The 16,152-nt window shown below is 38.5% G+C and overlaps 1 long non-coding RNA gene across 1 annotated transcript; it reads right to left on the bottom strand.

Annotated features, from left to right (window-relative positions):
* Window positions 1–965: 965 nt before the first annotated feature.
* Window positions 966–12,916, bottom strand: LOC124901000 (uncharacterized). The gene is made up of 2 exons (XR_007058811.1): window positions 12,788–12,916; window positions 966–1,069 (listed from the first exon to the last, which is right to left on the bottom strand). It is a non-coding gene; the product is annotated as an uncharacterized LOC124901000 (long non-coding RNA).
* Between the last annotated feature and the right edge of the window lie 3,236 nt (window positions 12,917–16,152).

Below are 16,152 nucleotides of genomic sequence, written 5' to 3'. Positions count from 1 at the left end.
GGATGCGTGAAAAGAATACAAACTCTGTAATTGTAGGGGAAGTGATTTATAAATATGAATTAGATTACATTTGTTGGCTGAGTTACCTCTATTATGTGAGAAGTCAGCAAACTTTCTGTAAAGAGCTAGACAGTCAATATTTTCAGCTTTGCAGGCCACACACTCTCAATAGCAACTATTCATTTCTGTTCCTATAATACAAAACCAGCTATAAACAATACCTAAATAAATAAGGTAACCAGATTTGGCTATAGTTTTTAGATGAGTTTAGTTTTAAGACCCCAGTTCTATATTGCTGCTGATTTTCAATCTGCATATTCTTTCAATTAATGAGAGAGGACTGTTAAAATCTATGCTCATAATTGTGGACTTGTTTAGTTTTTAATTTAGTTGTATTGATTTTTAGTGTTATTCCTGTATTGCTTTTGGACTTCATGTTTATTTGGTCTGATATTAACAAAGTCAAATCAAAGTTCTTATAATTAGTGTTTGTATGGTATAGTTTTTCCATTCTTCTTTTTCAACTCTTTGTGGCTTTGTATTTAAAGTATATCTCTCATAAACAACATACAAGTGAATCTTTCTTTTTATTCAATCAAACAATCTCTGACTTTTAACTGAACCGTTTAATTCATTTATATTTTATTGATATGGTTAGGCTTAATTTGACCAATTTGTTGTTTCTTTCTACTTATCACTTCTTTCTTGACTCCTTTGTTTTCTAAAAAAATTTAAAAAAGAATTTTAAAACGTATTTTAGTTTTAAAACATCATTTTATTTTACCTCACCTACAGGCTTTTAAGCTATATATCCTTATTTTATATTGTTATGGTTGCTGTGAGAAATACAATGTGTATCCTTAACCTAGTATATCTTGACTTAATATCATATCACTTCACATGTAATGGAAGACCATGTAACAATGCCAGTTTGGGTTCTCTGAAAAGCAGACACCAAGATGATATTAGATATGCAAAGTTTTATTGCGGGAAAAATCTATGAAGGATACAAGGCGAAGGAGCAGGAGGAAGTGAAGACATCCTTCAGGCTGCAATGTAGGTTTGACACCTGTAACAGGAGGCAGGAAAGAAATAATTATGTAAGTTGAGTCTCAAATTGCTACAGAGTTCTAAGAAAGCCTAGATCAGGCTGAAGAGGTAGGTATTCCTGAACAAATGTTGCCTACTGGATATGTCTGGCATTGGGCCAAAATGGAGACCGCCTGTAGTACTCTCCATGATATCAGTCATTGGCTGGCAGCAGCCAGGGAAAGCATGGCATAGGCATGAAAACTATGGTAGATACAAAGGGGCAATAGCTAGAAATTCTCAGTCAGCTATGCTTCCCACACCTGGCTCTCTTGAAGGAGTCTGAACAGCCTGCCTCCATGGCTGTCACATACTACCCTTTGTGCCACATAGATCTCCTTTCCGTGTATGTTCAAGGAGCAACTCCTTCAGGGTTCCTATGGGCTTCTTTCCTTCAGAAAAATCTTAGAAGAGAGATATTAGTAGGATAATGACAGCCCCTGCTGCTGCAGTTGGTCATGAAGCTGCAACTGATATATATCTTCTCCCTTCTTCACTATCCATTCTAAATTTTCATTATCTTCAGCTGTTTTGCAAATCTTGCTACTTTATTGGTTGGTATGACCCAAAACTTCATCATCGAGGGGTTTGAGATGTCTCAAGCCAGGTTCACTGCATATATCCATTCACAGTGAAAACTGGACAAGAGAATACCAGGAGCTGCCTAAGTACATCAGCTGACTGTCACATGCATTTTTCTCAGCCCCCATTGTGTAAGAACAGCCCAACCTTTTACTGCTGATCAGGGTCAGCTGTCCCTTCCAAGATGGAAATTCCTCTTTTTTTCCTGCTGGACCTTGGACACCAAGTGATCAATGGACCCTAACAACAGGCATAGCTTGTAGTCAATGGGATATTTGCTCTGCATCCTGGCAAAAGTACACCCCCTGGGCCTCTGACTTTGCAGTGTTCAGAGTTGTGGGAATGAAAAATATGAAGTTCATCAATGGATCATCGAGTGTAATGTCAAGTAGAGCCACTCCTGCTTCCACCCCTTGATTCCCAGACACATGTATTCTTCCTGTTGGGAACAAGCACTACATAGAGGTCTCTGATTTAGTATATATACTGCATCTTAAGGAATGGCACCTTTCGTTACAGAGCGTTGGCTCTAAACTGATGCTTCAGTTCTGCTTTCAGCAGATCTTTCCCGTGTTCTATGAGACTGATTGTCAATGTATAGTGCAATATGTGATACAACGACACAACTCATGGATTACATGATCAAGAACCCATTCCCACAAATCCTTTGCTATGAAGGGGGTTGCTTGGATAGCTGCATTGTATGGATTTTCATACCTGCATGTCAGGCATTCTGTAAGCCCTGAATCATGGGACTGGCTGAAGTTATGCAGACAGGTAAGGCAAATCCAAACCAGAATAGGTATCCCTGTGAGGAAAGCTACTAGGCCTTCTAAGATGGAGGGATCCTAAAGTGTTTAATTTGCCACTAGTGGCTAGTTGGTCTACTCTGCGAACGGCACAATGTTGAAGGCTAAACATTGGTGGCTGCTGTCTGTTTGTACTTTCAGAAGGAGCAAGAGTTAGATTGGCCTTTGCAAGTGAGAGCTCATGCTGTGTTTTCAGCTGTGCTGTCTGTAGGCCATTCCTGTGTTCTATGAGGCTGCCTGCACTGAATACTGTACACTGTATGGTGTAGTATATGATACAACCAGTGGATTCTATGGTCAAGGGTCCATTCCCACAAATTTGTTGTGGTGAAATGGGTTCCCTGAACAGATGCCTCCATCTCTGCCACCACAGCAACTATATTTACAAGCCCATGATTCCAGTTCTGGGGTGGCTATGATGAGGGCTGGCTAATGTCAACTAACTGACTCATTTTGTTTACTTTATTATTCAATGATTCTTCTGTTGAATGCTTTCTGGTGGGTGTTAAAGTGTGATAGAAAAATCACACATTGTTCCCACTCCCATGTGTCCATCCACAAGCCTCTACCCCACACAGCCTTGTTTCTGATCTTCCAGTTTTTTCCTTCTGGATCTCTGACCGTCTAACCAGGTCATCAGACATTACCCAGGAATCTATAAATGAATTTTACATTGGGCTACTTCTCCTTACACTCAAAGTGAATGACCACAGGTTGCAGCTCCACGCCTGGGAATATATTCCTTTTCACTGAGTTTCAAGTCAGCCCTGAATATGGATGTAATGCAGCACCATCTGTTTCCAGCTTACTTCCTCTTACCAAGTCAACCTAGCTATACACCAGGTTCAGGCTTTTTCCTCCTGCCTCAGCTGATCATGTGACAGCCCCCTGCAGCCATAGGTGTGAGCTGGGAGATGGGTACTGGTGCGACCTTAGCGAGCGACATGGAAGTGTGGATAACCTACTCATGCAGTTAGTTTGCGCCCTCTGGTCCTACATAGGCTTAATCCTGTAACATTTCCATCTTACAACAGACCACTCCTGGTCTGGTCCAACTTGGTGATTTGACAGTTTTGATAGACCCCAGATCAGAATGGATAGTTCCAGGTGCAGGGCCATTGTGTTCCAAATAATCAAGCATTCTATCTCCGCCAGGGCCCAGTATCATGCCAAGAGCCATTTTTCCAGAGACATAATTCTCTGCTACACATGGCATGACCTTGCTCCAGAACTCCAAAGGCCCGTGCTGTGATCCACCCACACAGCCTTGCCAGAAATTTCACACTGCATCTCTTCCCACCACTGATACCGCCAACACCATAGCCTCTAACAGGTGTTATATGGCCTGAGGGGTACGTGTTATGGGTTGAATATTTGTGTCTCCTCACCTAGAATTCATATGTTGAAATCCTAAACCTCAATGTGATAATATTAGGAGATGGGGTCTTTGGAAGGTAATTAGGTCATGAGAGTAGTAGAGTCCTGATAAATGGGATGAGTGCCCTTATAAAAAAGAGAAACTGGAGCTTTCTCTCACTCTCTTCTCTCTGTTATGTAAGGATACAACGAGAAGAACAGTCATCTGCAAACTAAGAAGAGGCCCTTATCAGACACCAGATCTACTGGTGCTAAAGCTTGGATTTGCCAGCCTCTAGAACTTCGAGAATTAAATATGTGCTGCTTAAACCACCCAGTCTATGGTAATTTGTTATAGCAGCATGAACTGCCTAAGATAGCAGGGTTGCTTGCACCACAGCCTGGATCTGCTGCAGAGCTCTTTCCTACACTGGGTGACATACAGAGGTGGCAGCCTCCTGTGTCACCAGGCACATAGGCCAGGACAATATTCCTGCGTGCAGAATGTGTTGTCTCTAGAACCTAAAAAAGTGGTCTGCCAGGCACTGTGCTTCCGTCTTAGTGGTAAGGGATGAAAGATGCAATCATTTTTCTTTTACTTTGGTGGAGATGTCTTAGCACATCTCAGACCACCACACCCCTAAAAACTTTACTAAAGTAGCGGGTTCTTGAATCATCATAGAGTTTTTCTCCCAATGTCTGGAGCCCATGAGTCTTAAATGGACTTCAATATAGTACCTCCTGTTGCTCATTTGTCTCAATCAGCATGATGTAATGGGATAATGTGATGTTTTACAAGATATTCAGACAGTCTAGATCTCTTTGGAATGTATTACGACAGAGGGCAGGAAAATTAACAGCCCTAGGGCAAAACTATAAATGAATATTCATTGTCTGTTCCAAATAAACATGAACTATTTCTAAACTTCTTTTCTGATCAGAAAAGAAAAGAACACATTCACAAAAGCATTAGCCTTATACCATGTGTCTGAGGCCTTATTTATCAATCTGCTCTAGCAAGGGCACCCAAGTATAGTACAGCAACTACAATTAAGGTGCCTATTTATTTGAGCTTGCAGTAGTCTGCTTTCATTTTCCAAGATTAATCTGGTTTCTGCAGGGCCCAGACTAATTAATGGATATATAATAAAGACTGCCACCTCTGCATATTTTAAAGCTTCAATGGTAGCATTATTCTTTGCCATCTCCTTGTGAAATGTGATAGGTATTTTTAAATTTACTATTTTGGCCAGGAGAGGCAGTTTCAGAAGTTTCCATTTGGCCCCACAATGACAGCTCTTATCTCATAGGCTGAGGATCCAATGCCAGGTATATTGATACCAATTATGCACACAGGAACTGGGGAAGATGACGACTGAGTGGGTCCACAAACTCAGTTGACCCATTGTAAGCAATATTTTTGTCAGGATTTCATATATTACCTGGCTCCTGCTAGCCCCTACTCTACTGGGTGGGCCATGATGAAATGGTGTTTTTAGGTATCAACAGCTACTCCAACCCTGTATCTAATTGTATTTGAAATGCCTGGGTAGTCCTCTTTCCCCAGTGTACATTCACCTAAGTAAGTGACTGCAGGTCCCTTTGACCAAGGAATAGAGAAATTATTAATTTTGTGCTTACTGGAGATTTCCTTCTGGGAACCTTGTTCTTGACTTTTATTGGGATAACTGCACTCAAGCTTCTGCTCCTCCATTCCTGCCTTCTTTTTTTTTTTTTTTTTTTTTTTTAGATGGAGTCTTGCTTTATCACCAGGCTGGAGTGCAGTGGTGCGATCTCAGCTCACTGCAACCTCCGCCTCCCAGGTTCAAGCGATTCCCCTGCCTCAGCCTCCTGAGTAGCTGGGACTACAGGCATGTGCCACCATGCCTGGCTAATTTTTTTGTATTTTAGTAGAGACAGGGTTTCACCATGTTGGCCAGGATGGTCTCAATCTCCTGACCTCGTGATCCACGTGGGTGGGCATGGTGGCTCACCCCTATAATCCCAGCACTTTGGGAGGCCTGCCTTGCCTTCTTCTTGTTGTTAATGTTAAGTACCACCCTATGGTAGCTTGCCCTAAGATACCCCATATTCTATTCACCGTGTCCATAACTCCCTACAGATCAAGACCTCTTGACTGTCTTTCCAACCTTGCCAGTTAATATAATTAACTGTGGCCCCCTGGCTTCTGGGAGTTAAGTGTCACAATTGGCCTCTCTAACTTTGGGGTTCTGTTGATTATGATGGATGTTAAGGAGCCAATTCAGTGACTATGTTTCCTACCATCATCCTGGCCTACACAGGAGAGACCACTGAATGTCTCAGCAATGCATGTCTCACTAGTGTCTTCATAATGGCCTTGGTAAATGGGCCTATGCTGTAAATGGGACAATTTACAGATGATATAGAAATTGAACAAATAAATACAAGATACTAGAAATAATTTTTAACTAATACACTAGAAAACATAAATGAAACTTTAAAATCATAGAAAAATACAACATATCCAAAATGCACACAATAAAATATGACACCTGAAATGTCCTCTAACTATAAATAAATATAACATTAAATCATAGACAGAAATATTTGCACAAAGAAAACCACAAGCCTGGGTGACTTTAAAACTTAGGCCTGGCCGGGCACGGTGGCTCATGCCTGTAATCCCAGCACTTTGGGAGGCTGAGGCGGGCGGATCACGAGGTCAGGAGATCGAGACCATCCTGGCCAACACAGTGAAACCCCGTCTCTTCTAAAAATAGAAAAAATTAGCCAGGCGCAGCAATGGGCACCTGTAGTCCCAGCTACTTGGGAGGCTGAGGCAGGAGAAAGGCGTGAACCCTGGAGGCAGAGCTTGCAGTGAGCCGAGATAGAGATAGCACCACTGCAGTCCGGCCTGGGCGAAAGAGTGAGACTCTGTCTCAAAAAAAAAAAAAAAAAAAAAAATTAGGCCTACAAAAATTCAAAGAATATATGATTCTAAACTTACACAAACACTTTTTGACAATTATAAAAGAGAAAGAAAAGACAAGGACCACTAAGAGGAAAAACGTTGTGCTTCCCAGGCCATCTGAAGAATGTAGGATCCAAGCCTCCAGAGCAGGACCAATTCTTGGAGGACCAAGTAGATACTCTGGTCTTGAGCTCTTCATAAACTTGTGCTTGGACCATCCCTCAAAGGTCCTTCTAATTGGCTGCCTTCTCATTCTTTTCTGACACAAACTTCTCTTGGTGCTTCTTATTGGCCATGTCTTGGAATTCTTGCCAAAATTTACTCGGAGGTGCAGGATAACTAGAAGAAGCTGTGGCTTAAGCCTCAAGAACCTGCCAGAGTACTGGGAGGAGTCACAGTCTAAGTCCCTAGGACTCACAAACTATGTTTTGTGAATGTCCAGCAGATGTATACTTATGTATGAAGCATGAAGAAAACCTCCAAGAGCTTGTCCAACAATTCCCGAGTAGAAAAAAATGTTTCCTGTTTATAGACCCACAGAAAAGTATGGGAATAGCATATGAAGGCTATATCAGGAAAAGCATATCTAAGACTTTAGTTCTAAGAATGGCAGAACAAAAAGATTGTTCCATAGAACAGTGAATTTGAGCCTTCTCGTGTGGGGTTTCCCTATCCCCTATAGCTCTGCAGGGAAACCCTGCAGCTTTATTTGCAAGAAGTGGCAGGTTTGGTTCAGGATTAGTGGAAAACTGCTAGAAATTTAAGGGGGACATTTTGGAGGCAAAAGAGTCATGGAAGAGCTGAAATAATAAACTCTCTACACACCCTCATTCTGACTGCTAAACTACACCATTACAAGTGTGCAGAGGAGGAAAGTGAAAGTCCGAATTTTCTTGAGGTCAGAAGGTGGAAGTCTTACTGACTTGATGTGTCTGAACACACCCTCAGCACTAATTGCTGGCTGACCACTAAACTATGCAAGCACAGGAGAGAGCCCCAAGGGGCCAGGTGTTTTTTAAAAGCCAATCTGAGCAGAGACATCAGCAACTTCACACCATAAAGGAGACAGATTTTGAAGCTTTAGTCCAGAAAATTAAATTGCCCATTAAAACAAACAAACAAGAAAACAATTACCCCCCCAAGACCCCAAATCCAGAATTGCTATTGTGTATTACCTACAATACCCAGGTTTTAACCAAAAATTACTAGACAGGCAAAGAATAGGAAAGTGTTACTCATACTCACGAAAAAAGGAAGTCAATAGAAACTGATTCTAAGCAGGCACAGATGTTGAATTTAGCATACAAAGATATGAAAGTAGCTACTATAAATATATTCAACAAATTAAAATAAATTATATCTTTAAAATAAAGGAAAATATACTAATAATGAGTGAACACATAGGGACCCTAACAGATACATGAAAACTATAAAAATGAATCAAATGGAAATTCTAAAACTGAAAGATACACTAACTAAAATAAAGAAAATTTACTAAATGGCCTCAATAGCAGATTTGAGATAGCAGAGGAAAGGATCAGTGACCTTGAACATAGAACACAGTGAAAAAAGATGGAAGAAAAATGAAGAGACTGAGAGATCTACTGGGAAATATGAACCATTTTATCATATGTCTAAATGGAGTTCCAGAAGAACAGAGAGAAAGAAGCAGGAAAGTATATGAAGAAATAATAACACAAAGTTTCCCAAGCTTGGTGAAAACATTAACTTCCAGGTCCAAGATGCTCAATGTATCCCAGTAGTATAGACACAAAGAAAACCATATCTAGATGCATCATATTCAAATTACTGAAAGCTAATGAGAAAAATCTTCAAAGCAACAAGAAAAATGACCATTTCATATAGGGGAACAATGATGCAATTAATGGCTGGCTTCTTGCCATACAAAATGGACGTCAAAATACGTTGCACAAACATTTTCAAAGTGCATAAAGAAAAAATACTGTAAACTAAGAATTTTATAGTCAATAAAGTTATTCCTCAAAATGAAAGCAAAATAAGAAAATTTCAAGATAAACAAAATGTGAGGAAATCAATCCTGGCAGACATGCACTATGAGAAATGTTGAAGGAGGTCCTTCAGGCTGAAGGGAAAACATATATGACAATAATATTACAAAGAAGAGGAATGTAATGAAGCTATATTGGGGCAAACATATTATCTCTTATTGAAAATAAGGCTACTTAAAGTAGACTATAATAAAATAAAGACACATATATTAATCCCCAGAATAATCACCAAAAATAATTCAAAGAAATATAGCTAAAAGTTAATAGAGGAGTTAAAATAGTACAATAAAAGATATTTATGTAGTGCAAAGTAAGAAATAAAGCAGTTATGGAAGAAAAATGAGAGATTAGACAAATATAAAATAGCAAAAAGTCATAAACAAATCCAAACATATCAATTATTACACTAAATGTGACTGCACTAAATACTTTAATCAAAAGACATAGATTGATACACTGGATTTTTTAAAAAAGATCCAACTGTAATTGTCCACAATTTTTCAGAGTGATAATAGTATTGTAAAACTCATGGTGATAGCTGCATAAGGCATACATTTTTCCAAAACACATCAAACTGTACGCTTAAAAAAAGGTAGATGTTTTCTTCATTGTCTTCTGGCAAAAAAAGGGGGATGTTAGCTTTATATAGATTATACCTCTATAAAGCTGTAAAAAAAAAACAATAAAAAGAGGACATATTCCAAATCATTCTATGAATCCAGAATATCCATCATAACATATTCAGATAAGAATAAAAAGGCAGATATCAGGCCATTCTCACTTAAAAAGTAGATGCAAGAATCCTAAACAAAATATTAACAAAATGAATTCAGCGATGTGTAAAGACAGATGAAACGTCAAGATCAAATTGGGTATATCCTAAGAATGTAAGGCTGGTTGAACCTTTAAAAGTTAGTAAGTACAATCTATCATAGTCATAAATTATAAGAGTAAACACATGGTCGACAGAAGAGACGCAGAAAGAGCATTTGATAAAATATATCATTCTTTCGGATTTAACAAAAATATAACTCTTATGAAACTTAGAATAAAAAGAAATTTCCTTAACATGATAAGTGAAAGAAAAGTAACAGTAAACAACATACTTAATGGTAAAAATGCTTGAGATCAGGAAACATCGAAAAATATCTGCTTTTACTACTCCTTTTCAACATCTTAAATGTGATGAACAACAGTTTCAGTCAGACAAGAGGAATAAGCTTTAGTGATCTATTAAACAGAATCGTGACTATGATAAATAATAATGCATTGTGTATTTCAAAATTGCTAAAAGAGATTTTAAATGTTTTCACCACAAAAAGTGATAAGTATGTAGCGATGGATTTGTTAATTGTCCTGATTTAATCAATCCACATTGTAAGCATATCAAAACATCACATTGTACCTCATAAGTACATATAATTGTTATTTGTCAATTAAAAATAAAAATTTAAAAATATAAATATACAAAGTATAATCCATAAAGGAGAAGATTGATAAAACAATATATGAAAATTGAAAATTTTTTTTCTAAAAAACACTATAAAGACAATGAAGACAAGCCACAAATTGTGACAAGATATTTGCAACTAATATAAACAAAGATTTAGTATTTAGAATGTATACAAAATTCCTACAAATTAATAATACAGAGATTGCCAATTCAATAAAATGGGAAAAATTATGAAAAATTTCACAAAAAAATACTAAGGCTGATAAACAACGAAAAAATTATCAAACTTTTGTATTCACAGAAGTGAAAATTAAAACTACAGTGAGATACCATTTCACAACTTCCAGTTTGACAAAACTTTAAAGATCAGACAATGTTAAGTATTGTTGTTATGAAACAAAAACTTTCATGCTATTAGTAGGAGTATGAGTTATCACAAACACTTTGGGAAACAATTGGCAGTACCTTACAGAACTGAACATATGCATACCCTATGATTCAGCAATTTCTCTATAATATATGCGTTCATAGAGTCATCTCTTGATATATGCAGGGGATTGGTTCCAGGACACCAGAATATCCCAAAATGCACACATATTCAAGTCCTGTAGTTGGCCCTGCAGAACCCACGTATAGGAAAATCTGGCTTTTCATAAACATGGGTTTTGCATCCAGCAAATACTGTATTTTTGATCCATATTTGGTTGAAAAAAACTCGAATATATGTACACAATAATAAACAAGTTTTGCACACTCAAAAGTTCTCTCAGTGGACCCACACAGTTCAAACCCATGTTGTTCAAGGGTCAACTGTATATATACGTACATATATTATATATAATATATGTATATATATGTATATACATACATATGTTCAAACATTCTTGAATATATACACATTTACTTGTGCAAATGTACACAGCTCAAATGCTCATCAACAGTACAACAGATATAAAAATTGAGGTTTGTTCATACAATGGAATAATAAATGGCTGTTAAATTAAGTGAGCGATATCTGTGCATATTCATGTGGTTGTATCTCAAAAATATACTAAGTGAAGGAGATAAGTCATGTGGATTTCATTTCAAAAAATGAAAAACTGGAAAAATTGAACAAGTTAATGTGTAGGGGCTATATATTAATAGGTAGTAAAGTGATAAAGAAAATCAAGGGAACAACTAACACAAAATTCAGGACACTGGTTATCTCTGGTGGGAAGGGAAGGGCATGATAGAGAGAGGGAGTCTAGGAGCCCCTAAGTTCCAGGAAGTGTTCTCTTTCTCATGTTTGAGTGGTGGGTACATCCCAAATTAATTTTTAAATTAAACTGTACATATTTGTTTTATACATTCTTTTGATGTGGGGTAATGAGACCTTTCATACACCCTTGGTGGAAATGTAAAATCATATGTCTCTTTGGGAAAACAGTTTGATAGTCTGTTAAAATGTTAAGCATCACATTAAACCTACCATATGATGCAGCCATTTACTCTTAGATATATGCCACAGAGAAATGAAGGCATGAATCCATACAAACACTTGGAAACAAACATTCAAAGCAGCTTTCTTTGGAATAAGCAGTAACAACTGGAAACAATCCAAATGCCCCCGCGCCTCCTCCACCAACAGGCAAATGGATAAACAAATTACATCCATACATTGAGATGCTACTCAGCAACAAAATGCAATGGAGCATTGATAACACATTATACTCAGCATATTTTGAACAAATCTTGTATTTTGAATAAATCTCAAGACAATCATGCTGAGTAAAGGAAGCCAGATTAAAAAAAGAACATATTGTATAATTCCATTTATATAAAATTCTAGAAAATGCAAACTAATCAACAGAGACAGAAAGCAGTTCTGTGGTTGCCTATAGGGAATTAGTGGGATGGATTATCCAGGGGCAGGAGAGAACTTTTCGGGGTGAAGGACTTCTTTATTATCCTGATTGTGGTGGTGGTTTCATCACTGTGCACATATATTCAATTGTACCCTTCAAATATGTGCAATTTATGTATGCTAATTATATGTTAATAAAGTGATACACAGAATATATTATATATATATAAAAGTTCAGATAATGGGAAATTTTACAAAGAAAAGTGAAATAGGACATATGATAGAGACTCTCAGAATATGCTGCCTTAGAGCCTTAGATAGGATGGTCAGGGAAGGCCTCTCTGAGCAGGTGGCTCAGTGTAATAGCTGTGGCCAGATGGCCTTCCAAAAAAGCTGTAACAATTCATATTTCTACCAGTTACGAATGAGGGTACATTTTACTCCCATTTCCCTACCAGGGGCAAGGACATGTGTCTATTGTTTTGCTGATCTGGTGAGAGATGTCCTTTCTCAATACCTTCTGTTAACCTTGTTATTTACATCAGTCCAAGCTACAAATCTATTTATTATTAATCCAGAGAGACACTCTTCCAGATCTAAACACTCAATCTCTCAAAGGAGCCAAGACGTAGTATGCATACCCTACAGGGCATCCATTTCTCCACACACCTCTCTGTGCTGGCCCGTCAGTGTTCTCCATGTCCTCTGTTATCAGGGCCAACAGCCTTTGTCTCTTTCCATTCAGCCGACCTTACAGCAAGGCAGTCAGGGCTTCCAGAAGGTTCTAAGTGGGTGAGTGAAAGACGGTTGGTTCCTTCTCTCCAATCCTTTGACAGGAGATTTACTTCATCTTTACACAGAAAGAAAAAATATTAAAGAGGGTAGGAAACCGGCTAGTTTAATTTAGGAAGCACCTCAAGTAATTAAGCATTGAAATGTTGCTTCCCTGGTGCAATATTCTCCAGCACATTTTCTTTGATTCAGAGCTAATAAAAATCAACAACAATGTGTTTGGGGGAAGGGCAGAGGATGATGAGTGATGAGGGAAAAGGGGATGTAAATGGGTCGGGAGAGAAGGATGCCAGTTATTTTAGCCTACAAAAAGGATGCATTGTAAGCGACCAATTTCCATGATGGATAAAGATGTGCATGTCATTGTATACAGCCCTGATTCTAGGAGACAATTGTGGACCCTTCTCCAGCTGGCCCACTGGAAGGATCTGACTATTTTGGCTCACATGATCCAATTCCAAGGGAGGGCTCTTATTTCACCTCTTCCCTGCTTCCTTATGCTGAGGAAAGCAGGATTACCGTGGCAATGGAAACAAAATGTTAGAAGGAAGTTGGCTCTGAAAAATATTATAGAATAATTGGTTATTCTACCACTGCTTTCTGCCAAACCACTGTCTTCCCTTGAGAGTCCAGAGTTCTGAATTTAAGAAACAAAATAAATCTTTTTGTTGCTCAGACACCTCTAAATTCATTGGTATCTTTGAGATCCAACACTCTCAGTGAACATATATTGTGTCTGCTGTCTGGTAGACGTTCAGAGCCAGCGCTAAGTCCTGTGGCCCTTTTATAGTGCTATCAATTTGTCATCTGTCCTTGTTTTAAAGACCAGCACATTTTTGCCATGGCCTCATCTCACGATAATGAAGTCTTTGGAAAATTAGCAATCTCAGGCATTTAAACTTGTATGTGCACTGTGAGGCAAGGTGTGGGACAATGACTCCAGCTGCTAAAAGGGGATGTGCAATGATTATACTTACTCAGTAGACTTTATTTTTCGCACTGCCTAGGCTGCCCCTGGTGATAAGTTAGCCATTTAGGAAGACATTTGAACTCTGCAATTCCCAGTGTGTTTCTTAGGTCTTTGTCTGTACTGTGTCCTCATCGGAAACATGCTTCTCTTTGTTCAAGCACTCATCCATTAGCCAAAGATATATTTTTCCTTTGACATTTATAGTCTCCCCTTCACATATTGAGCATTTTAGGCATTTAGGTTACAAGATATAATACAAATAGTCCTTATGATGGAGAATCTGAGAGTTTAATGGAGAAGATTGGGAGATACACACACACAAACACACACACACACACACACACACATGCAATGGCTAAGAATATAGGCTTTGGCATCACGTGACTTGGGTTGTAATCCCATCTCTGGCACTTATGGCCTTGACTAAGTCATTTAATCTTTCTAAGCTTCAAACTCTCATTTATAAGATGGAGATTCATTCATCTAACAAATATTTGTTGAGGGCCCACTTTGTGCCCAGCACAGGCCTCGTACTAGGAATCTAACTTTGGACCAGCCAGACAAAAATCCCTCCCAAGTGCAGCTAGCATTCCGATATTAACAGACAGATTGAAAGTTAAACAACAGAGACATAATACGCCAGGTAGTGATAAGTGCAATGAAGAAAAATAAAGCAGGGTGAGGGGATAGTAAATGGAGGAAGATGCTGTTTTTGGTAGGTCAGAGAAAGCTCTCTGAAGAGGTAGCACTGGACAGAGATTTGAGTACGTTGACAGAGGGTCGCTGTGACAATCTGGGAGAAGAGCATTCTAAGGCAGGCCCTGAGATGAGAGAGCACACCTGTCATAGTCAACCAATAGCAAAGTGGCCAGGGAGCTCATGGTCACAAAAAAAAAAAAAAAAAAAAAATTGGGCATTTGGAAAGAGGTGAGAAATGTGAACAACAGAAATGGATCAAAGGTTAGGTTAAGCTAGTAGAGGAGACTTCTAGTGTGCAAATGTGCCAAAAATTGCCCTCACTCTCCCCTTAGCAGCCTGGTCTCCCTCTTACTCCCACAACTACAGGTCCTGATAGTACTGGAATGAAAATTTTTGTGATAAACCTTGGAGGCTTGCAAATCTTTTAGATTGATGTCCAGAAAGAAAAGAAGATATAAGTAACAGAGAGAAGCTGAACTCCAGAGCAAAAGACCAACCTGAACCTGAAACCTTTCCCACAATACTCTTTAAGTTTTCCTACTCTGTGAAATAGCTACTTACACTGCCTGAAATTCTACTAAAGATACATATGTATCACTATATGCCCTCTCTCAAAAGAAGAAAACTCTCAAAATGTGACTAGAAGTGTTACCTAGTCATTTGCACATGAGTATAAATTAGTGTGTTCATCTTTCTTTCTAACATCTAGCTGACATCATTTTCTCTAGAAGAAAGAGTATTTCAGTTAAGGGTAAAAGATAATAAGTAACTCTTTATGTTTTTTCATGTATTTTGTTCTACTTTATATTCCTGCTGCTTCTGAAAAAAATTTGAGGCAGCAAATATTTTTAAATTTTGAAGATTTGTGGAATAAGATGGACTGATTCCACTCTTTCTTCTACCACTTCTGCCTCCTCCACACAAAATAGTGATGCTATCTATAGCTGAAGGTATAGTTGGAACATGTTTGGAGGTTTGGAGACATTGAATTAAAGTGATCCCTGAGAACATAGAAAGTAAATTGTTTCCCACTAGTTATACTACAAAATCCGCACATGTTGGATAAGAGCAATACTACATCAACCTAAAACAAGCCAACAAACAAACAAATAAAAAAAAACCAGAATGGCTCCCAGGCTACCAATTTTGGCTCTGATCTGATTGAAGACATCATCATAATTAAAGCAACAATGTATCTGGCAAAAAATAATAATAATAAATAAGAAAAGCCAGAAAGCCCAGAAAAGAGAATGTGAAAGAAGCAACTCCCAAGCCTTGATTATGCAGAATGCCAGAAGAGAGACTAGTAGGGTCTAAAGTTGTCCTGTCTAGTCCTGTGACAGTTGATCCCTGATCTAAGTGAGGCTCAACACAGTTTTCTGATTGCACTCCAGCTTCCCTTGCAGATTTGCTTCCAGGGAGGAAATGCACTGGTAGCAACATGCTTGATAGCCAGCAATTTTTTTAACTGCCATTCTGGTTGGCACATCTAGCTGGTATGAGTCTGTTTAACCTGAGTCAGACCCTGAACTCCAATCACTTCTGACTCTAAGGCCACAAGAGGCTGTGTGCA

This window comes from Homo sapiens, chromosome 5, assembly GCF_000001405.40.
Source record: "Homo sapiens chromosome 5, GRCh38.p14 Primary Assembly".
NCBI classification, from domain to species: domain Eukaryota; kingdom Metazoa; phylum Chordata; class Mammalia; order Primates; family Hominidae; genus Homo; species Homo sapiens.
The sequence above is the reverse complement of the archived record's forward strand: the minus strand, read 5'-3'. Positions and strand labels throughout refer to the sequence as shown.